The sequence below is a fragment of the Homo sapiens genome, chromosome 11, assembly GCF_000001405.40.
Source record: "Homo sapiens chromosome 11, GRCh38.p14 Primary Assembly".
Lineage (NCBI taxonomy): Eukaryota > Metazoa > Chordata > Mammalia > Primates > Hominidae > Homo > Homo sapiens.
This window is the reverse complement of record NC_000011.10, coordinates 105882308-105906461: the sequence shown is the minus strand read 5'-3', so window position 1 is coordinate 105906461 and position 24154 is coordinate 105882308. Positions and strand designations below refer to the sequence as shown.

The following is a 24154-nucleotide window of genomic DNA, read 5'->3' as shown; positions in this document are numbered from 1 at the left end:
CGGTTGTTGCCCCTTCCATTTCATCCTATCCAAACTCTAACATCCTGGCAATTTTAAATCCCACCTCCTCCATGCAGCCTTCCTTTCTTTGTTTTCCTCCAGCAGGAAATCATCTCTTCCTATGTAGATCAGTAAGGGAGAAAATACTAAGAGTAAAATATGTTTTCTCACTTACAGGCTTTGGATAAGATAACTTATTGGGCCATAATTTTCTCATTTGAAAAAAAGAGAAATACTACTACTCAAATTATAGGTTTGTCATGAGGATGGAATCATGCAAAGCACCAAGTCCAGTGCTTAGGACACAGCAGGCATTTCATAAATTGCAGTTATCATTACATAAAAACATGAAAATATATTTTGGAAATTTTTTTTTTAAACAGCCAAATACAGCTTTTAGATAAGGTTAACTTGAATATCTGTTTCCCTGAACATCCTAGTTCCTAGATAAAAGGAATGTTAAAAATTACATGAGTTAGCTACAAAACACTTATAACCAATTACTGTGGTGGGGCTGTATGGTTGCACTGTATAAAGTACTTGAATGCTGGGAAGACCGCTCCTATACCTATTCACATCTTACCACTAGATAATTATCTTCCCAAATCCAGGAACCTAGCACCAGCACCTTCCTGAACAACTTAGATGTTTCTCTCCCTCTCAGCCTAATAATAATCTTACCATCCATCTTCTTTCTCTTTTGGTCATTGAAATTTATCTAGTTGATTACTTCAAGAACACCCAGCCTATTCTAAATATGTTCACCCATTAGAAGTAGTTTGTTTGTACTTGCTCTAATAATTTCATAAATGACTACCTTGAGGTGCTTATGTCTCTTTACTGCTTCGTGTTCTCTTCTGCAGAGCCAATTTTGTTTTGTGGGATTCTTTTTGCTAACCCCACCCAAAATATTGCATCCATTTTGGATAAGAGATATAAACAGTGTATAAATTAGTTTGTTTCAGCTTGGGCACACTACTAAATACAATTACATGACACACACATTTATCACAGCATTGATTATAAAGAAAGTACTAAAGTATTTGTAAGTACTCACAAAAAAAGGAAATGTTCAGCCATCTTTCTTCTGTACACCTTTAAAATGTTACATACAAACTAAGAAACAGAGAATTCTGTTTTTCAGTTTGATCGTGGCTCACCTTTCTAGGTCCTGTGCTTTTCAGCTCAAACACATCCATTGTGTAATTGACTCTACGTCCATAGTGGTCAAACTGAACATTCCCTGTCAGCCCTTGAATTCGAACCTAAGTGAAAAAGAAAACCACACGTGTTCACTTGCAATTTCACTTATAGGAATTTTAACTTCATCTGCTGGGCTTATAACTACTTAAAAAAGTAGAACTATAAACTATAACCAACTAACTGAAATGCCATTAGGTATTTGAGCTATTGGGATAGCATCTGAAATAGGAATATCAAAGGGATGTATAAGCAATTTTGCTATACCCCTGGAAGAGGAATATGTTTTATTTGTTTTTACTATTATAAAGTTTCCATTTTTAGTCGAAGAATCCTCCCTCAATTGTAAAGTATTTTTATAGGAATGGCAATTTTTTATGGTTACTTTTCAGTTTTATCTATATATCCACAAAATGGATTAAATAACCCTGATACTTATGCCAGATCATATTCTCACCTTGCTAATATTAAAATTAAGATATAAGAAGCAAAAAGTATAAGGACATTTTTGAAAATATTGAAATATATTTTATTCCAAATTTCCTTTTAATTTGCTTTTACCTATGTTTTGAACCTGTGACATTTCAGAACATTTAAAATGTAACATTAAATATGTATATATTACCTTAATTATTTGAACAAATAGTGTTAGTATAATTATAAAAGACTAAAATAAACTACTTAATCCAAAGTTACAAAGCAATTTAAAGATCTCCAGAGGTAGTCATTATTTCTGGTTCTGGTATGTTCCAGGACCCAAGTGGGCTTATACTTCCTGAACCCCTTGTGGTTAGCTAGGCCCATGAGACTCTTTCTGACATATGAGTTGTAAATAGGCAGGACAGGTGATATTATCAAGCCACAGAATTTAATTGCCAATTTGAAACCTGCCCCCAACTATCCATTTCCCTTTGCAGAATTCAAGATGGTAACTGCTCTGCAAGCCTACGTCCTCGAGTGATTACAATTAGCCAAGAGCCCCTGCTAATCTAACGTGTGTCTGAATAAGCAAAGCTCCTTTGTTGTTTTGAGTCACTGTGATTTGGGTTTTTTATTACTGCAACATAACCTAGCTTATCCTGATTATGCATCCACATAAAATGTAAACAGCAAGATTCTACCTTGTATTTTATGTAGAAATGTTCCAAAAATGATGGCTTGATATATTTAAGTAGCAATTGTAATATGTATTTGTGCTTGGATAAATTAGTCTGTTTTTTGAACATTCAGTTAAAACAAGACCATGAAATGAATTGAACTTAAATAAAATTGTGAGTTACCTGTTTGAGTGTCCTCTCCATGTCAATTCCCTGGCCCCATGGAGCAGCAGGATTTGCCAGACAATCCCCAGCATTTCCTCTCCTTGAGATATCAATTTTCTGCCTCCTAAGACTTCGGAAAGTTTCAGCCATCACAAGGACTCCATCATAAGTCAGAGCAGAGGTGTACTAACCAAATGAAAATGAACATAATGGTAAATGTTAAAATCTTATCGAGTGCCAGAAATGGTCTGGGGTCTTTGTAAGTTTATGACATAAAGCACCATTCTGTCTGAAGGATGGTTAAATTACTGATAATTAATTGACTCTAGCTTCAGAAATTTCTATTCTTGCTTTAATATAAAGCCTGTATACCAAATCTTATCATCCTGACTTAAAAAGGAGAAAAACCATTCTGAAAAATAGAAATTCCAATAAAACAGTTTTCCATCAATTTGGAGAAGAAAGACCCCTAGGCAAGGCCTTTCTGTTGTGTCCCAGTACAAATAGCTAATGTATCAAAGGCTAATGCAGCTTTGTAATCTGCCTTGTAGTCGGTTTCTGTGGTTGAACCCCAGGAGGGCTGGGCCTCTTAATCTTTTCCTGCTCCAAAAGGCCTAGCAAGGTTCCCTGAGATTTAATATAAGTTCATGGACTTGAAGTATCTATCTTTGTTCAGTCTCCCAGAAGAATGAGTGGAATTGTTTATTGTTATTCAGAAATATGATGCCAGAAATAATATCTACTTATCCAACAAATGTGTATGCATCAGTGACTATGCTAAATGGGAATGGATATTGCCACACCACACCCAATGCAGGTGCACAGGAAGGCAAAGTCATTTCGTTAACCTAGGGTCAAAGTTTTCAATATAACCTAGGATCCAAGTGGAGATGTGAAGGGTAGACCATCTGCTTCTCTTTGAGAAAAGAGTGAGCTCCCCCCACCTCTGAGAAAAGATTATTAAGATTAGGGGAAAAAGTGAGGAAAGATTGAGATAAAAATGTAGTTTTCTAAATATAAAAATAAATCAACATGGGATCGCTTGTGGTAGAGACTTATTAGAAAATTCCTGAACACATGGAAATGGGGCACAATTTTCTTGAAGCATGACAGATCTACTTATTCAAAAAATGGGTATGTACTAGTCACTGTGCTAAATAGTATCAACTACTAACTACTAATCATGGCAAAAACTACATTATCTCCTTTAGAAATTCCATATGGTCAGTTCCTTATAATTAACACCTTCCATGCCTGTTTGAGCAGTAGATTTGTGCTGTAGAAAGTGGAGGATGATCTCCTTGATTTTGTGCTTTCAAATGAAGAAAAATCATTTGAAATTCCAATTGTAGAAAGTAAACTTAGGGCTGGGCATGGTGGCTCACACCTGTAATCCTAGCAGTTTGGGAAGTTGAGGTGGGTGGATCACTTGAGTCTAGGAGTTCAAGAGCAGCCTGGGCAACATGGCCACACCCCATCCCTACAAAAACTGCAAAACATTAGCCAGGCGTGGTTGTGTGCACCTATAGTCCCAGCTACTTGGAAGGCTGAGGTGGGAGGAGGATCGCTTGAGCCCAGGAGGTCAAGGGTACAGTGAGCAATGATTGTGCCACTGCACTCCAGCCTGGGTGACAGATAAAGACCCTGTCTCAGAAAGAAAAAAAAAAAAGAAAAGAAAAGAAAGTAAACTTAGGCAACACGGCCATGAGACATAGCAACCACCATTACAGGGAAGAGAAAAACTAAAACATGGATAAAATAAGGAGCATTAATTCTAACAAAGAACTGTTCAATAGTATAGGATATAACTCTTGTATTAGAAGGATTTAAAAGAACCATGTAAATTAAGAGCTTTCCTATATATTCCCCCAGGACATGATAAAACAAGCTTCTGGATAAATGTGCCCTTCACAATTGATTGGGATGGGGTAGCTGAGAAAAATTAAGGTGTTTAAGCAAGGTACTACACCAAAACTGAATGTGCTCCTTCTCTGCCTGACCCAACACATCTTTGAGTAGAGAAAGTCATCAAATCATCTTTTTTTCGTAAGGCAAGAAAATAAAAACGAGAAATAAAATGAATCTTGCCTAAGTCACAAAGGGCAAGAGAAAAATGCAATGCTAGTACTTGAGGACCAAAGGAGGAAAAAAAGAAAAATATTGCCACTTTTTCAACAGGAAGAAAGAAGCTGAGAAGAGATGGCACCAAAAAGCAAATGCACTTTTTGTGTTTTAAAAAGTTCGTTTATTTTTATGAAATATGTGAACCAGAAAAAAGAGCAGGTATCACACAGAGTGGTGCAGAGCAAAGGAGACATTCAGCCAGAGTGGCAAAGACCTGGGATTTGACAGGTCATAGAGCTGATAGACGGAAAGAAAAAGTAGTTTAAATCAGTTTTACCTTTTCAAAAGATATAATTCTTTTCTATGTGTCTTATTGTGCTATAATCCAGGAATCCACAGTTAGGGGCTGACAAGTTCTAGGTGGCACCTAGAATATTCTTACTAATCATTTCATTTTTAGGCAGGGTAAATAGTGCCCTATAGTTATTTACTGCTCTGATAAGTGATTAGAATGATGAAATGATTTCTATTTACTAAGATTTATAGATAACAAGACAGAATTGGGCAGAATCATAGTGCGGTAGAAAAAGTATGGACTTAGAGAAGAAAGAACTGGGATGAATTTTAATTCTGTGACACAGGTTTATGGGAATGTGAAGCACATTTTTTTGGTTATGGAGTATAAAACAGAGCAAAATGAAATGAAACAAGATAATAGTGACTCTCTATTGTGATTATTATGAGGATGAAATTTCATATCATATCTGAGAGCTCTTTGAAAAATGTACCAGACTCTAGCTAGGAATCATGAAGACTACAAAGATGAGTATTTGATGGTTACTGCCCCAGAGAGTTTATAGGAGTGAAACAGTAAGTGTGCAAATAATTATATGAAATCCCTGATGAGAATTGCCCAATCAAATACTATGGAGATTACAAGGGGGAAAGGAATCACATTTACAAAATATATATATATATATATTTTTAGTTCTTTTTAAATGTACAGTGAATTATTGTTGATTGTAATCACCCTGCTGTGGTATCAAATACCAGATCTGGGCCAGGCGCAGTGGCTCATGCCTGTAAGGCCAGCACTTTGGGACAGATCACTTGAGGCCAGGAGCTCAAGACCAGCCTGGCCATCGTGGCGAAACCCCGTCTATACTAAAAATACAAAGATTAGCCAGGTGTGGTGGGGCAGGCCTGTAATTTCCAGCTACTCAGGAGGCTGAGGCACGAGAATCGCTTGAACGCAGGAGGTGGAAGTTGCAGTGAGGGGCGAGATCGCGACACTGCACTCCAGCCTGGGTGACGGAGAGAGACTCTGTCTCAAAAAAATAAATAAGTCAACCTGAAAAAAAAGAAAAAAGAAAAGATTTCATAGAGAAAGTGGAATTTGAGATAAAGCCTTGGAAGATGGTTGGATTTCAACAGGTAGACATGATGGTGGAGGACTTTTGAGGTAGAAGCACGTGCACAGGGAGTGATAAAGGGTGGGGAAATGCAGGGCAGCTCACATTGGCTGGAGCATCAGAAAGGAGGCAGAGGATCATGCACTTGGAAAGGCCTGATTGGCCTATAGAATGGAAAACCTTGATTCCAGGAGATTTTTTTAAAGCAGGGAAGTGACACGATCAGAAGTCATGCTTTTAATCTTGGTTGAAAAATTAAACACTTAGAGTACACTTTAATTATAATCAATCCACATTATTTGTGGATTCTAAATTTTCAAATTTTCCTCCTTGCTAATATTTATTTGTTACTCTTAAATCGATACTTGTGGCACTTTTGTGGTTATTTGTGGAACTGTATAGAGTGGTGAAAAATTTGAGTAACCCAACACACAAGGTCCCAGCTGTGGCTGAACAAGGAAACACTGTTTCCTTGTTTCTGCTCTCATACTGTAAACAAGTGTCCTTTTTGTGTTCTATTTAGTGCCATGTTTTCTGCAGTTTTGTGCTTTTTGCTGATGATTTCACTGTTTAACATGGCCCAAAAGCATAGTGTTGATGTGCTGTTTAGTGTTCGCAAGTGCAAGAAGGCTGTGATGTGCCTTATGGAGAAAATGCGCATGTTAAATAAGCTTCATTCGGGCATGAACCATGGTGCTGTTGGCCAGGAGTTCAATGTCCATGAACCAACAATACATTAAATAAGGTTTCTTTAAACACAAACACCCATAAAACAAGGTTATATACTGAATAGTTGACAAAAAGTTTGTAACCAGAGGCTAGCAGAACTTAACCCTATATTTCCCCTGGAGCAATAGTTCTATATTTACTTATTCAGTATTTAAAGAGACTTTATAGAACATAACTGCTGTGAATAATAAGAACTAATTGTACTGCATTTATTTATTAAATGGCTACTGAATGCCTACCATCATGCCAAGAGTTGTGAAGGATGAGAGGATTATATAACAAAGAGAACAAAGCTATAGCATAGACAAGTCTAGTTGGATATAATCAAATAGGAGACATTAAAATAATTATATCCTGTGTATTCCATGAACCTGGTCCCTGACTCAAGGACAGCCAACTAACAAATCCATTTAATAATTTGCTTGTATTTATCTGTAAAATCAAAGGATTGGACAACAGTGCTTGACACATAGTGGACATCCATTTAATGTTCTGTTTTGAAATTCTGTGATTTTATAAGGCAGTGAAGATGGTATGCTGAGCTGGCCAAATTCCAGTATTTCAGAGAAGAAATGGACATAGCCAATATGAAATATTATAATTAGAAAATAGAAGCAGAGCTGAGGCCCTCTAGCCTTAGATCTTGTTTTTTCTAGGCTTGAGTTTCCAAATTATACATAAAACTTTTTACTGGAATACACTGTAAGTAAAAGATTAGCAAATGATGATGATGGTGCCTTATTAGGTAGGGGCTCAAACCACTAAGTTGGAATTTAAGAAACATTATGCCATAATTTAACATGAGGTCTAAGAAAGTCATCTATCTGTTTAGTTTGATCAAATATGCTTATGATCAGAAATTTACCAGCTTTTTCTGAGCAAATATTAATAGCATATGTTCACAATTTCAGTCAGAAAACAATGAAAACAACCTGATTTTTCACGTTAATTTGAAAGAACTTTTGCAGAAGCTTGTATATTTTACATTTCTGCTAAATTCCTAATTTGCCTACTCATTTTAAATCACTTCATGAAGATTTCTGTGTGGGAGAAAAGTTACGGATGCTCTTTCACATTTGAAGCATTTAGTTAACAATTAAAAAAAATTTAATTCTGAAAGAAAATTCATATGTATAGTACTGTAATAATAATAGTAAACTGCCTGAGCTAATGTCTAGAAACTCTACTCTTAAATACAGAAATTTAGAAATTATTAAGAGCATGTGCAAGGCAGTTATAAGGACAAAATGCTTTTTTCCCATGCCATACTATGTTTGGCAAAATGTTAATGGAAAAACTGTATAATAAACTTTTCATCTTAAATTTTGAAACTATCAGTAATACAGTAGATAAAAATAAACAAATACCTTTGGAGGAGTCTCAGATCCTGGATACTCTCTCTGATCTAGTTTCTTCCAGCGATCCATTAGTTTGATTACCATAGGTGTATTAAAATCCACCAACTGGAATCCAGTAACATTGGCTCCACCATGTATAAACCTCTCAAGAGAAATATCCTTGAATCCCTATAAAAATTAATACAAAAGATTGTTAAATTTAGTTTATTATACATGGCAGCTCTTCAATAGTAACATAAATTAATAACCTATACATATTAAAAGATTTTTAATAAAGCAATGGCTAAAAATGTGGAAAATGATAATAAAAGATGTGGAAAATCTAATTATGTCTATTTAGCTGTTAAATTCTGTAATTCAAAATCCAATACATGAGACAAAGATATGTTTTTATTTCAGTTCAAATCAAGTATTTCTTGAATGCCTCTGATTGCCTTTTATGAAGTATAAAGGGGGATACAGGAGATAAATATGATTGCATCAAAAAGTCTCCTATTTCTCACTAACTCATTCTATGAAACTAGTATCATACTGAAACCAACATTTGGCAAGGACACAATAAAAACGAAAACTACAAGCCAACATCCCTGATGAACACAGACATAAAAATCTTCAGCAAAATACCAGCACCCCAAATCCAGCAGCACATCAAAAAGATAACTCACTGTGATCAAGTAGGTTTTATTCCAGGGATGCAAGGATGGTTTAACATATGCAAAGCAATAAATGTGATTCACCAAATAAAAAGAATTAAAAACAAAAACCTTACGATCCTCCCAACAGATACAGTAAAAAGCATTTGATAAAATGCAACATACTTTCATAATAAAAATCCTCAACAAACTAGGCATCAAAAGAACATATCTCAAACTAATTAGAGCCATCTATGACAAACCCACGGCAAACATCATACTGACTGGGCAAAAGCTTGAAGCATTATTCCTAATAACTGGAACAAGACAAGGATGTCCACTCTCACCACTCGTATTTAACATAGTACCTCCAATCCTAGCCAGAAAAATCAGAAAAGAGAAAAAAAGGCATTCAAATAGGAAAAAGAGGAAGTCAAATTATCTCTGTTTACTAATGATGTCATCCTACACCTAGAAAATCCTAAAGACTCCTCCAGAAGACTACTATGTCTGATAAACAATTGCAGTAAAATTTCAAGATACAAAATCAATGCCCCCAAATCAGTTGCATTTCTATAGCCAACAACACTGAAGCTGAGAACCAAATCAAGAACTCAATCATATTTAAAATTGCCACACACACACATACAAAATATCCAGGAATGCATTTAACCAAGAAGGTTAGAGACCTCTATAAGGAAAACTACCAAACACTGATGAAATAAATCATAGATGACACCTAAAAATGGAAAAACATCCCATGCTCATGGATAGGAAGAATAAATATCATTAAAATGATTACATTGCCCAAAACAATCTACAGATTCAATGCAATTCCTATCAAATTACCAACATTATTTCTTGCAGAACTAGAAAGAACAATTCTAATATTCATATGGAACTAATAAAAAGCTTGAATAGCCAAAGCCACTTAAGCAAAATGAACAAAGCCAGAGGCATCACATTTTCTGACTTAAGACTATACTATAAGGCTATAGTAACCATAACAGCATGGTTTTGGTACAGAAATAGACACACAGATCAATGGAACACAATAATGAAACCAGAAATAAAGTCACATACCTACAACCAACTGATCTTTGACAATGTCAACAAAAATAAAGAAGGGGAAAGGATACTCTATTCAATAAATAATATTGGGGAAACTGGCTGGCCCTATGCAGAAGACTGAACTCCTACCTTTCACCATATACCAAAATTAAGATAGATTAAAGACTACATAAGATGTGAAAATACAAAAATCCTACTAGAAAACTTAAGAAAAACTCTTCTGGATATTGGCCTAGACAAAGAATTTATAACTAGGACCTCAAAAGCAAATGAAACAAAAACAAAAATAGACTCATGGGACTTAACTAAACTAAAGAGCTTCTGCACAGCAAAAGAAACAATCAACAGAGTAAATAGCCAGCCTACAGAATGAGAGAAAATATTTGCAAACTATGCATCTGACAAAGTACTAATATCTAGAATCTATAAGGAACTTAAATCAACAAATAAAAACCAAATAACCCCATTTAAAAAAGAGCAAAGGACATGAACAGATACTTCCCAAAAGACAACATACAAACAGCCAGCAAACATGTGAAAAAATGTTCAACATCACTAATCATCAGAGAAAAAATGAAAACCACAATGAGATGCCATCTCACACCAGTCAGAATGGCTATTATTTAAAACTCAAGAAATAGCAGATGTTGGTGAGGATGTGGAGAAAAGGGAAAAAATAAAAACTGCAACTGTTGGTGAGAATGTGAATTAGTCCAACCCCTATGGAAAACAGTATGGAGATTTCTCAAAGAACTAAAAATAGAACTACCATTTGACCTAGTAATCCCACCACTGGGTATATACCCAAAGGGAAGTAAATCATTTTGTCAAAAAGACATCAGCACTCATATGTTTATTGCAGCAGTATTCACAATAGTAAAGTCATGGAATCAGTCTAAGTGCCCCGAGAAATGGTAGTCCAAGAGAAGAGCACAAGATAGGCCATTCATGGACTCCTGTGTGGTAGGAAAAAAGATGGTGTCCACCAGATGGAGCGAAGAAGCTGGGAAGTAAGGATACTATCCCTTCTTGCCTAGAGGTAGTAATCAAGGATTCAAAAATTCTGGACAATTATTTATTTTCTCTCTCTCTCTCTCTCTCTCCCTCCCTCCCTCCATCCCTCTCATGTATCATATCTATTGTGTACACATTTTCTATTATCTATCCATGTATGTATGTATCTATATCTGTCCATTATCTATCATGTATCTATTATCTATCACCTATCTACCAATTATCTGTCTTTTATCTATCTTCCATCTATATATCTACCCATTTATCACCTTTGTTTTATACCTGGCTCCCTTTTATTGCCACTATTTTAGGTACCTTATAAAAATCCACACTCAATAAAAAGTGTAAAACAGATAATAGCAAGAAGAGAGCAAAAAGCCTATTAAGGAAGTGAATTAATAAAGCCATAGGTATTAGCTCAGAGAAAAGTAAATCACATACACACACACACACACACACACACACACGCATGAGCTCGTAGCTTTTGTAATTGCTTTCTTTTTGTTTTCTCTTAGTATTTAGTAAAGGTTCTTTTGCAAATGTGAATATGCTTCAATTTGCTGAGGGAATGAAGGAGAGTGTTTTGTTTATTTTTTGGTGGGAATAAAATATGTAGCAATAGGCCGGGCGCGGTGGCTCACGCCTGTAATCCCAGCACTTTGGGAGGCCGAGGCGGGTGGATCATGAGGTCAGGAGATCGAGACCATCCTGGCTAACAAGGTGAAACCCCGTCTCTACTAAAAATACAAAAAATTAGCCGGGCGCGGTGGCGGGCGCCTGTAGTCCCAGCTACTCGGGAGGCTGAGGCAGGAGAATGGCGTGAACCCGGGAAGCGGAGCTTGCAGTGAGCCGAGATTGCGCCACTGCAGTCCGCAGTCCAGCCTGGGCGACAGAGCGAGACTCCGTCTCAAAAAAAAAAAAAAAAAAATATGTAGCAATAATCCTGCAGTTAGAGTAAGAAGTAATGAGGACTTGGAGTTGCTTGTCCTTCTGAATGCACCTTGGCTATGGTTTTGGGATCTTCAGATTATTTGTTTCTTTCCTTCCCTCTTCCCTCCCTCCTCCTCCTCCTCCTTTTTCTTTTATAGTGAAGTAGATTGTCTTCCTAACCAACATATGTGCATTGCTGTTTGGCTATCTACGAAAAAATATATCAGTCTACTGGCAACTGAGCAAAAATTGCTGTCAAGAGGCCCAGGTATACGAGCTAACAGCTATTATATGCTGAGCTTATTATATGCCAGGCATTGTGCTAAGCGTATTACACAGATTATTGATCTAGTTTAGTTTTCATAACAAGGTTATGAGATAGATCCTATTATTGGCCTTATCCTAAATATATGAAAACAGGCTCGGGGGGGTGAAGAAAAGCTATTCAAAGCCATCCAGCAAATGTATGGTAGAGCTAAGATTCCAGCCATACAAACCACCTCTTGAGTTTGTCTTTTTCACCTTATACTCCTGCATATTCTTACACAGAGGTATTTTAAATTTTATTAATTATCATAATATCTATAGGAAAGGCAGTGTAATACTGTTTCCCCTCGAAAAGCCCACACTTTGAATTCCACATCTGTTACTTTCTAACCTTATACCTTCCACATTCAAAATGAGAATGAGAATGCTACGGTATCCAGCACATCTGGTTTGAATTCAGTAAATGATCACTATTATCAATTAATTCACTCAACAGATATTTATTTCATGCCTATTATATGCCCACTAATTTGACAGCTCATCAGTAACATTCTCATTTTGTCGATAAAGAAACTAGACGCCAGAAAGTAAACCTATGTTTCTGAAATGGGAAAAACACTGTCCATCAATCTCCAGCTAGTAAAATGTCAGTTGAACATTGGTTTGCTTCTATCAGAGTATACGGCAGACCCACAGGCAGGCAAATGATTCCAATGTTTTCTAAAAGCCACAGTAATTCAACTATTGCATTAGTTGCTAATTGATGACATTATTATTTTCTTTCAAACATGGCTGAAATAGAAGGTCTGCCAAACCTTCTTTCATAGCGTTATCCACAGCTGCAGCATAAAGAGGCAAAGCTGCAGCCTTCAGAAAAATCATCTGATGTAAAGTCTAGCTGATAAATAATAGTTCACATTTTCGAGTCCATCCTGTTCTTATGCTGAAAGTAAAGGGAAAAATTGCCATGTCTGATTATAAACCATTGTCAGTTATGATTTCAATGAATAGTGGGTGGCTCAGTTAATTTCAGCTATGTCTGTTTTGAGTACAGGCAATATTTTTCATATATTTTCATACATATTTTCTTACATATATTTTCTTTCATATATTTCTTTCATATATTTTCTTACAATTTCATATAGAAAATTGATAGGATCTAGACAGTGAAGCAGTTTTCTCAGAAACATTTATTTTGGTGGCCATTTTGATTTCAATTTTTATCCAAAGAATACAGTGGATCTGAGAGTTCCTGGGCAACATTGTAATAAAATTATTCACTCCATAGTCAGGAAGAAATCAGTGGTTAAGTGACTTCAGTAAATAAAGTCTCTGAGGGCAGGGGGAGATCATGGGAAAGGCTTTCTCTTGTTAAAATGGGCCACTACTTTGCTTGAATTTCACAATGGTTAATTACCACTCTCTAGATTAACGTCCAACTTGGTTTTTCTTTAATTTCTATTTGTAGTTCATACATCTTTTGGGGGAAAATAAAATGTTTAAAATTATAGGTATCAGATATCCTGATGACTATTTATGTAAATTTACAGGTCTATCATCACTGTTTAATAAATGCTTATTCTTTAAGTTCTACTTAATTCAGGTAACATTTCTGCTGTATTTTGCATTTCAGTTTCGTAGGTTGACTAAATTATATTGAGATAGCTCTGGTGCAATTAATGGAAGGAATGTCAAATAGAATGGGGGAATTGCTAGCTTACCATGTTGTAAAAATTAGTTAAGAAATTGACTTAAAGTATGTACTTTTCATATGCATGTAGATAGATGGTAGAGTCAGACATGCTCAATGCAGAAAAGTTAAAAAACGGGAAGCACAAAAGTAAAACAATGTCGCCAAGTTGATGGAATCTTAACTAGGGTCACTGCACGTCAATAAAAATGTGCTAGACTGCAAATTTTGGGAAGCATGTCTACTCTCCATTCTGAAACTAATCAAACACCTAAATGCAAACAAGTCACTTTGCTCTCTGTATCCTAATGTTTAATTTCCTTTATGTTCTGAATGAGGCGTGAGTGGTATATGTGTGTGACATGGTGGAGGATAGGTAAGAAATAGGTTCAGTTCATCTTTAATTATATATCCAGAACATTTTGTAATTTTATATCTTTTTAATGATTGAGCCAGGTGTTCTCCTAGATGTAAATTAAATAATACTTTTTAAATAAAAAATCTAAAGGAGAACAAGATTCTAAGAATTTGTCTTGGTAATGGGACAAATGTCAACTGTTCCTTTTTGCTATTGGTGGCCATATTTAAATTATTTGACTGGTAGAGGAGTGAATATCAATACAGAGCAATGTGTTTAATATTAGGTCCCCCTGACGGGTGCTGTGGGAGATGATTAAGTAAATGGTCACTTGGTGGCATTATTCCCTAAGTTATTTATTTTTTTGTGTATTTATTCTTTGCAATCAGACAGGCCAGAGCTTCAAACTTTTCTTTGAGAATTCAGATCTGCGAGATCTTGGGTAAATTACACTGAACCTCATTTTTGTATCTATTAAAAATCTTTTTCAAGGCCAAATTAAAGCAATTATAATAACAAAAACAATTACAATAACATAAGCTGGGTGCTAGAGGATAAGCAGGAGTTCAGCAGATAAAGAATAGGGATAAGGACTCTTTCATAAGGTTAACAAAAGGGACATTGTTCCTGCCTTCAGTGAGCTTGCAGTGTTTTATTTGCAGTTGTGCCGTGGGATGTTGGACAGTACCTGTTACAGAGGGGTTATAAAATAATAATTTGATAAATGAAAAAACAAGAATAAGTTCTATACTATGAGTACACAGGGTAGTTTGAGAACCCAGAGGAGGGACTATCAAAGTGGATATTTAGGGATAGCTTTCTAGACGTAATTGTAACCACTGACTAGGATTGGGTGGGGTAAACACCTCCTGATAGAGATAACAGCCTAAACAAAACTGGGAAGAGGAAAGCAGCATTAGGTGTCTGGGAATTAGTTTGGTCTGAAGAAGGGATAGTTGTGGGGTGGAGTGGGAAAAACTGTGGGGTCAAGTAGGGATAAAATCTTAAAGGGCTTTGTGCATTAAGTTCAAGAGTGCAAATCCTTTTTCCTAAAATATTTAAGTAGAGCAGTGCTTAGGTTTTCAATGCTTACTCTGAAAGATGGTGGTAAAAATTGGGGCAATGACTCAGAGTTGGGACAATATGTCATTTGGAGAGACATCCAAACTCTGAGGAGAAGTGAGACACGTATTAGCAAGTAAGTCTGGAAACCCCATGGGGAATCAGGTCATGAAAAATCTGATGTCTTTTACTGTATTTGCAGCCTGGGGCCAATCAAAGATTTAAGCAAACGATATCATCATACTTGTCTTTAAAAAACAACTGGCAGCTAAATGAAAGAAGAACTAGGAAAGAGAAAGTCTAGGGGCAAATTAGGGAAGCAATTTTCTTACTTGAATCTCTAAGAAACAGACTAGGATAAACCAACTGACAGATAAGGTTTTCCTGCCTCTACTTCTCTGGGAAATTTTTGGAACAGAGCTTAACCTATTGCGATATCATACGCTTTCACCAGTACCTCTAGATGATGGGTTTAATAAAACATACATGCACCTACATACAAATCCCATATAGGACATAGAAAAGAAAAAAGAATCGCAGCAATCTTTCATTTCTAGCAAGTTTTACTCACACTTAATGTGCAATTGTTAAATATAGTGGCAGAGATAATCAGAGAAATTTCAAGAATCAGGGAGGGGCATGCCCATTCAATTAGATATCAGGCATAGCTCATGCTGTTCAGATGATGTTAGCTCCCTGTGGCTCCTCTTGGACCTTCTGCAGGTTCAGGCTTGAGTATTAAGGGAAAGGATTTCTACTTCTTTTGGCCTGGTTGGAGGTGAGATGCCAGTACACTGCAATAGCTCCAAAAGCTAAGATCAGAGGGGCATAGAATACATCAATGTATTCTCATTTTATCAGGATAGAATGATGAAGGAGATTGAATGGTTGTTAATTGAAGAAGAAAAGTTCAACTTGTAGTTAATGACAAGACAATTTAAAATAATGCCAGAGAGCATTCATAACCTATTTGCATCCTTATTCACAAAGAAATTGCCTATTATTTTGTTTAATTACATGAAATCTGCTTTCTGTATTTCAGCTCAAAAATTTAAAGACCATTATGAAGCCAATATTTCAGTGACATTCCTTACTTTGTTTCTTGGTTTAAAAGATTATCATTTTTAAAGAATCTAAAGAACACCTATATTTAAACTCAGTTTCTCCAGGGAGTTAACCTTGTTTAAATAAGGGAGGTCCTTGACTTTTACAAAAATGCATGTCTGTAAATTCATGACCCAATTTCATGCATCCCATATTGATGTCTGCTGAATTTCATTGTTCTCTTTTTGGTAAATATGAGTTGGACTTCATACCTTCTGCTTTTATATTCTACATTATGACTACAGAATATTTTAAATATTCTGGAATATTTGTAAACATCACAAGTAAGAATTGTTATTGTAGAAATCAGTTTTTTACTAATACTGTTAAATCACCCTTGATGAGTTGGTTTAAGTATAGCAGTTCTCCATTAATTGTAAATTGTAATTGTAAATTATCAATGAAATATTTTCTTGGTTTAATTTTTAGAATATTATTGCTAGCATATAGACATACAATAAACTGTTGTATATTCACCTTGCATTCTGCAACCCTGTGGAACTTACTAGTTCTATAAATATTTTTTGATTCCTTAGTATTTTTATATACATATAATCTTCTTTTTCAATCTGGATGCCTTTTATTGATTTTACCTAAATATCTGTAATAGAACCTTCAGTACAACGTTCAATAGAAGTGGTGAGAGAGGACACTCTTATCTTGTTCCTGATTTTAGGGGAAAATCATTCAGTCTTTCAACCTTAAGTATGATGTTGATGTAATTTTTCATTTTGATTCTGGATTGACTTCACATTTGAGAATCTTATGCACATAGCTCTCAAAAATAGTTGTTGATTGGCTCAATAAAATAAAAACTACTCTAGTGTTATAAGTAATAGTCCTTTAGGGATAAATGAATAAGTCAATAGAATCCATATTAATACACTGTATTATAATGTATGTCCATGGCAGCCACTGATCTAATCATGTGTTACAAAGATATCAACCACATATAATAAAACTTGCTGATTTTTAGTGAAAGTGATGGTTCTAGTCCCTACTGCAAACAAAAATGGTTTTCTACTTCATATACTGGAACGCTAGATAACTTAAATACACTGCCATCTCCTAGGGCTGTTTACGATATCCTTTGTAGTATTACAAATATTAATTCATTCCATCTTGTATTGATTTATTTATTTTAATTGCCAATGTCAGCAACTCATTTCTGGAATGATAATCTACATATAACACATTGATTTTTTTCCCCTCAATTCTATTGTTTGTAAGAATAGATGACAAAACCTATTTGCTATAAAAGTCATTAGAGTCTCATTGTACATTTCACTGTACTTAGTTATCTCATAATCCTAAGTTTTTTTCTCTTATAGTAATTAATATCAGAATATATTTGTCTTAAATTTTATATTTTTATAAAAAATAGTGAAACACTCTACTAAAACAGCCTACTAAAAAGCAATGAAAAAGACAAGTCAAAATTTCTCAGTATTTTCATGATAATCCATTAAGTCGCAAGATTATACTTTATCTAAGAAACACAATATAATCATGGTTCACAGTATTTTGCTGTATTTTAATATCTCAGATCCACAACCAAACCCAGTTCACTAAAGACCGAAAATTCCTGTCTCAAAGTCTGACAGTCCACTTGCCATACGGAAAGAATGGGTAGATCTGAATCTCTTTTGCATCCTTTAGTTTCTTTCCTGTTTCAAGCGCAAGATAGTCATTAAAAAAAAGTGTCATAAAAATAGAAAAAGGAGGCCGGGCGTGGTGGCTCACGCCTGTAATCCCAGCACTTTGGGAGGCCGAGGCGGGCGGATCACGAGGTCAGGAGATCGAGACCATCCCGGCTAAAACGGTGAAACCCCGTCTCTACTAAAAATACAAAAAAAAATTAGCCGGGCGTAGTGGCGGGCACCTGTAGTCCCAGCTACTTGGGAGGCTGAGGCAGGAGAATGGCGTGAACCCGGGAGGCGGAGCTTGCAGTGAGCCGAGATCCCGCCACTGCACTCCAGCCTGGGCGACAGAGTGAGACTCCGTCTCAAAAAAAAAAAAAAAAAAAAAAAAAAAAAAGGAGAAAACATCCTTAACTTCTCCAATATAAATCACTTTGGGAATCAGGCCCTTAGGGCAAATGGTACTCTATAATAAAGCAAGAGAGGCTGGGCCGCTCCATACATAATCTACCCCCTACACTACATGGTTAACAAGACATATTCAATGAGCCTTGCCAAGATATCTAAAAGGATTTCTCTCAGACCTTTAAGAATTTCATAAAAATATGTGTATCTTGTTTGTTAGCCATTTCTATATGATATGTGAAAAGTTGACATAATTTTTAAAAATTTGGATTACTCCCATTTAAAAGATTTGCTTATATAGCCATTATATACAGTTATTCTTAAAATTAGAGAACATAAGCTATTAGTTTAGATCATTCTTATAATATCCAAATATTGGCTATCTTTGTCTATAAAGTAGCATTTATCATTTAGACAGAGAAAATTATTTAATTTGACAAGTGGTATCGTAGCAAAGTAACCATTATCATTTCTTTTAAAGGTCTCTTTAGCAGATACCAAGCTAATCTGCATAAAAATATATTGAATTCTACTGGTGAAATTTAATGATCATTGTAATAAAATATCATGTGTTATTAAAAGCTTAGTAAGTAATGTACTCTATTTATTGAAGCATTATTTAAGGCACAGTTAAAATAATCTTGTGTGCTTGAGCAATTCTTATGAAAAGTAGAAAATAAGAAGTTCTTACCAAGTTTGCAATGATATAATGGTAGCCTTTAACATGCTTTCCAACACTTACAATCTGTGAAGATATAAGCAAATAAGAGAAAATCAATTTTAATTCACTGAAATATTATTTTAAAATTATTATCTATTTTAGCATAATTCCATGTAGAATCATGATGGGAAAATGATAGTTTTTTAAAAAATAAAAGTCACGTACTATAGTTAGAAGAATTGATAAGCCATATTCAGAATAAGTGGTAAAAAGTACCACTTTTATTTAAATCACATTCTATCAACCTCGTTCAGAAAATTATTATAATCTCCTTAAAAAGAATGACAATGCTATGAACCAACATTTACATATATTTCTCATGAGAATACATCAACATAGAAACTGAAAATGATTTTCATCCGAAGAATTTAGATGTACTTCACTTATTGATAATTTATAAAAATGGAAGATAGGCTGCTTGGTGTCTTAATAGGGTAAGAATAGTCATCTATGAGTAGACTGAGTAGCAAGCAAGGTTTTTCTAAGGCACAATCTCTGTTTATAGACATCTCTAATACCAGAAAATATTTAGTGAATTCTCACCTGTATATGAATGCAGTAGTGTTTTCTTATAATTACAAAAAGAAAAAAAAAATCAAAAAGCTTTTCTCTCTGTTGGATTCTTTTTTTTTTTCTGAGAATGTTTTCAGAAATGTTTAGGAAATTAGAAACTCAAACATCTTTTTTTAAAAAAAATTCTAGAGATCTTTTCAAAGTTCAATTTTATTTTTGCATTAGAGATTACAACTCTCATTCTCTGAAAAACTGAAAATTCCTTCAACAAGAGAAAATCTAATTTCAGTTACTAATGAGCAGCTTTGTAACTTCACTGGTGTCGTCAATGATAACAGTGAAAGCCACAATTTTCAGGTACGTTCATTGTCAAAGACAAAAATTAAATTATTTTAAGCATTTTATTATCCCATAAAAATAATTCTGTGTACTTGAGTGACTTATGTATGAAATGTAGGAAAACCGTTTTAAAATCAGAATGTATGATGGACATAGAGAGTAGAAAAATGGTTATCAGAGGCAGGGAAGGGTAGTGGGGGTGGGAGGGAGGTGGGAATGGTTAATGGGTACAGAAAAAAATAGCTGGAAAGAATGTATAAAACATACTGTTTTATAGCACAACAGGGTGACTATAGTCAATAATAACTTAATTGTACATTTTTAAAATAACTAAAAGTGTGTAATTGGATTGTTTATAACACAAAGGATAAATGCTTGAGGGGGTGGATACCCCATTCTCCATAATGTGATTATTACTCATTGCATGCCTGTATCAAAACATCTCATGGACCCCATAAATATATATACTACTATGTACCCACAACAATAAATAAATAAATAAATAAATAAGATCAGAACATATGAATTGTGCTGGAAAAGAGTTTTGTATACATGGCTATTGGTGAAATAAAATTTCTGCTGATCTTATGTTTTTGTTTTGATTGCATTCAAGACCTTCTTTCTATTTTTAATGTTCTCCAGTTTCAGTACAAGTTGTTTAGATTTTTACTTTTTAATTTCTGTTCATATTGTTTAGGATTTGTTGTACTTCCTGACTATGAGGGCTGATTGCCCTTTAACAATCCTGGGAAATTCACTGCCAATATCTCTTAAAATAATCCTTCAAAGATGTTTTCTGTTTGCTTCTAATAGATACTGCAATATTGGTATCACTGGCCTGAGGCCACTTTTATGATAAGTTCTCAGCTTCTAGATTCCCAGACCACAGTATATGATGTAAATTCAAAATACAATCTGCCTCAAGAACAAGGCTGTGACGACAGATTCTCAAGGAAGATATTTTCCTCACCAAACTAAGCCTAGGCCAAGGCAGAAAACACTTAGTTGACTCTGTACAGGGGACAGAATTTTTTCAGCTATACCCTTTTATTGGGCTGTTGCCCTTCACTGGTCTGGCTTTATGTATTGACTTGACTGAACCCAAAGCTTCTGTTCTTGGGAAAGCATTAAATGACCAATCAGCCTACCCAATCTGGCAATTTCCTTCATCACAGCTGCCTGTCATCTTGGCCCCTGAAGATTTTCTTTACTGTCTTGGAAGTTCAGCTATGCATTTATAATATTTTACATAACCTTCCTCCATGTTTTATATTGCCAGATTTATCTAGTCCACAATTTATCTAAAATAGAACTTTCCTTGAGAATCTTACCATGAAGATGAGGACAAGCAACAAATAGATGGGATTGTGGAGAAAGCTCGGTTTATGAAATAGCTGAATTAGGTGTCATATTGGGCAATCTAGACTTGAGTGATTTAACATGGGTGGAGCAGGATGGAGCCATCTTATTTTCTGGGAATCTCCAGTCTAGCTTGTGCAAAAGGTAATTATCAGGAGGATGCTTGATGCCACTCAGCCACGAAATGGCATATTGGCATATTCTATTATGGAGTCTACTACAGATTCCTGCTATTTGGCTACAGCAGGGGTTGTTGCCACTCAGCAATCCGTTATTTATCTCTTGCTGATTCACTATACGTTCTTCTGGTGTGGCTATTTAAGCCATTTTGCACTCTCTCTAAGCCCCTGTCCGCACCCTGCCTCTTATTTCTTAACACTCTCAGCTTGTGATTTCTTTGTGACTGCAGTCAAAAATGTGTCAGTTTAATTTTAAAAATCCATTTTAAGTGGAAATACTTGTAAATGTTAAAAAGATGTGGAATCAGTAAAAATTCTGCACTGGGTGTCTCCATAAAGAACTCATTGTCCATTCAAGATTGTTTAGCAAAAAACTATAATAAATTAAAGCTTATACAACGCATTTTCAAAGAGTGAGGACTTATAATACCACAAAGAACTGAAAGGGACAAAATTCCTGGCACAAAAGGTCTTGCAGAGCTCCATATGCATCAACATTCTGGTAACTGAGAGCTTGGGGAGCAGGGATCTGGAGATTTATTTACCTGGCTGGTGATGCTAGAGGCATCAGTATCTCTGCTGAGCCAGATCCTGGCTGGGAAAAAAACAAATGTACTGCACAAACGCTGTGAAGTTCTCATTGCCTTAGTTTCTTTGTGAAAAAATTCGATTTACAATCCATTGAGTGGTGTCCTGTAAATAGGGTGTTGTTTATTTTTAAATGATTGTGTAAAACTGACAGTGTCATCGTTGTGGTTTCACATGGCTTTCATCATCTCAACAAAAGTGAAGAGTATCTTCTGTAAAGAATAAATTTGAATGAGTTGACTGTGGGTGCAGACCAAACCTTGTATCTCCTATGTAATTGCTTTTTAAAAAATATATAAATAGGGAAAAGAAACAGTTTGAGTTGAAAGATAGGAATATAAAATGGAACTGTGTTCACACAAGTGTGGCTGGCTTAGTTGTCATGGGAAAACAATGCCCAGGGTGAGTAGTTGGTTGCAAAATTAATTATGGCCTTTCCTAAAGACAGAAAAATGTAGGGGAAGACAATCTGCATATTTTATATTTTTGAAAGAAACGGTGCTTCCTGACTTTTTAATGATCACCATTCTAACTGGTGTGAGATGGTATCTCATTGTGGTTTTGATTTGCATTTCTCTGATGGCCAGTGATGATGAGCATTTTTTCATGTGTCTGTTGGCTGCATAAAGGTGCTGGAGAGGATGTGGAGAATTAGGAACACTTTTACACTGTTGGTGGGACTGTAAACTAGTTCAACCATTGTAGAAGACAGTGGGGCGATTCCTCAAGGATCTAGAACTAGAAATACCATTCGACCCAGCCATCCCATTACGGGGTATATACCCAAAGGATTATAAATCATGCTGCTATAAAGACACATGCACACGTATGTTTATTGCAGCACTATTCACAATAGCAAAGACTTGGAACCAACCCAAATGTCCATCAATGATAGATTGGATTAAGAAAATGTGGCACATATACACCATGGAATACTATGCAGCCATAAAAAATGATGAGTTTGTGTCCTTTGCACGGACATGGATGAAGCTGGAAACCATCATTCTCAGCAAACTATCACAAGGACAAAAAACCAAACACTGTATGTTCTGACTCATAGGTGGTAATTGAACAATGAGAACACTTGGACACAGGAAGGGGAACATCACACACCTGGGCCTGCCGTGGGGTGGGGGAGGGGGGAGGGATAGCATTAGGAGTTATACCTAATGTAAATGAGAAGTTAATGGGTGCAGCACACCAACATGGCGCATGTATACATATGTAACAAACCTGCACATTGTGCACATGTACCCTAGAACTTAAAAGTATTAAAAAAAAAAAAAAAGAAACGGTGCAACTAGACTAAAAATAATGATCGTCTGTTTAGAGTTCTGTAGAATAGCTTAGGAAGGATCAATTATACGCTCTCAACGATGATAATCCTTACCAAAATAACGTGTTTAAGAGAAGTGACTAATTGATTCTTGTCATTACTTTTTTTTCCCTGTGTGTGGGGTTTTGTTTGTTTTGTTTTTGTTTTTGTTTTTTAAGAAGCAGAGAGTTGTTTAGGAATATCCATGGTGCTGGTCAAATAATTAAATTCTATAATCAGGCAATCAGGCCTATGCATATTAATAAGGTGAATGCCAGGTACAAACATTGTAATTTTTAACTGTTTTATTAACAAATTATGGCATAACCAATCTTCAAGAATGCAACTTCCAAATCCTTAGTCTTTGATGGAAGTTGGAGAAAATGAATTAGGACACTTTTCCATATTGACTTCACTTTTCAGTTCAATTTAGTTCAACAAATGCCAATGGAGTACTTCCTACCTATACGATTAAGGCTAAGAGATTTAAGGATTATAAAGATAAGTCTGTCAGTGCTGCTGTTACAAGGGTGTTTATTATCTCATAAGGGGAAGAGACACACAGAAATGACTAAAATACAGAGCAGAATAAGGGGAACGCAGTGGGTTTCAAGAAGTGATATCACTTGCTTAAGAGAACAAGGCAGACTTTTAAGAATGAATAGACACTAAATAAATATTGATTCAAGGAATGAATAAAGAAGTTAATCAGGATATAAATGTCAGAAACACTAACATATTAAGGTCAATTTGAGACTTGCAAATTAATGATAGTTTGGCCTTTAATCCACAATCAGATTTTACATTAATCCTTTATATATCAATAGTTTATAAAGTACTCAGGAGTCCTTCTATAAAAGTTGCTGTATATTATTTCTAACTATTACTACCAGGCTGTGATCATTCTATTGAACATGGTCTTCCAAACTAAAGACATGCAGT

General features: G+C 35.4%; 1 protein-coding gene across 28 annotated transcripts in view; it reads right to left on the bottom strand.

Moving 5' to 3' along the window:
• The window catches only part of GRIA4 (glutamate ionotropic receptor AMPA type subunit 4), a 372097-nt gene that overhangs the window by 75629 nt on the left and 272314 nt on the right, over positions 1 to 24154 (bottom strand). For all 28 annotated transcript variants that reach the window (NR_046356.2, NM_001440383.1, NM_001440386.1 and 25 more), the window contains 4 exons: positions 18890 to 18943; positions 8035 to 8193; positions 2481 to 2648; positions 1161 to 1265 (listed from right to left, as the gene is read on the bottom strand). Coding sequence is in view for 27 of the 28 variants with exons in the window: in NM_001440383.1 (NP_001427312.1) it covers positions 1161 to 1265; positions 2481 to 2648; positions 8035 to 8193; positions 18890 to 18943 (486 nt within the window). In the remaining variant the exon portion in view is untranslated. The remainder of the gene's footprint in view (positions 1 to 1160; positions 1266 to 2480; positions 2649 to 8034; positions 8194 to 18889; positions 18944 to 24154) is intronic.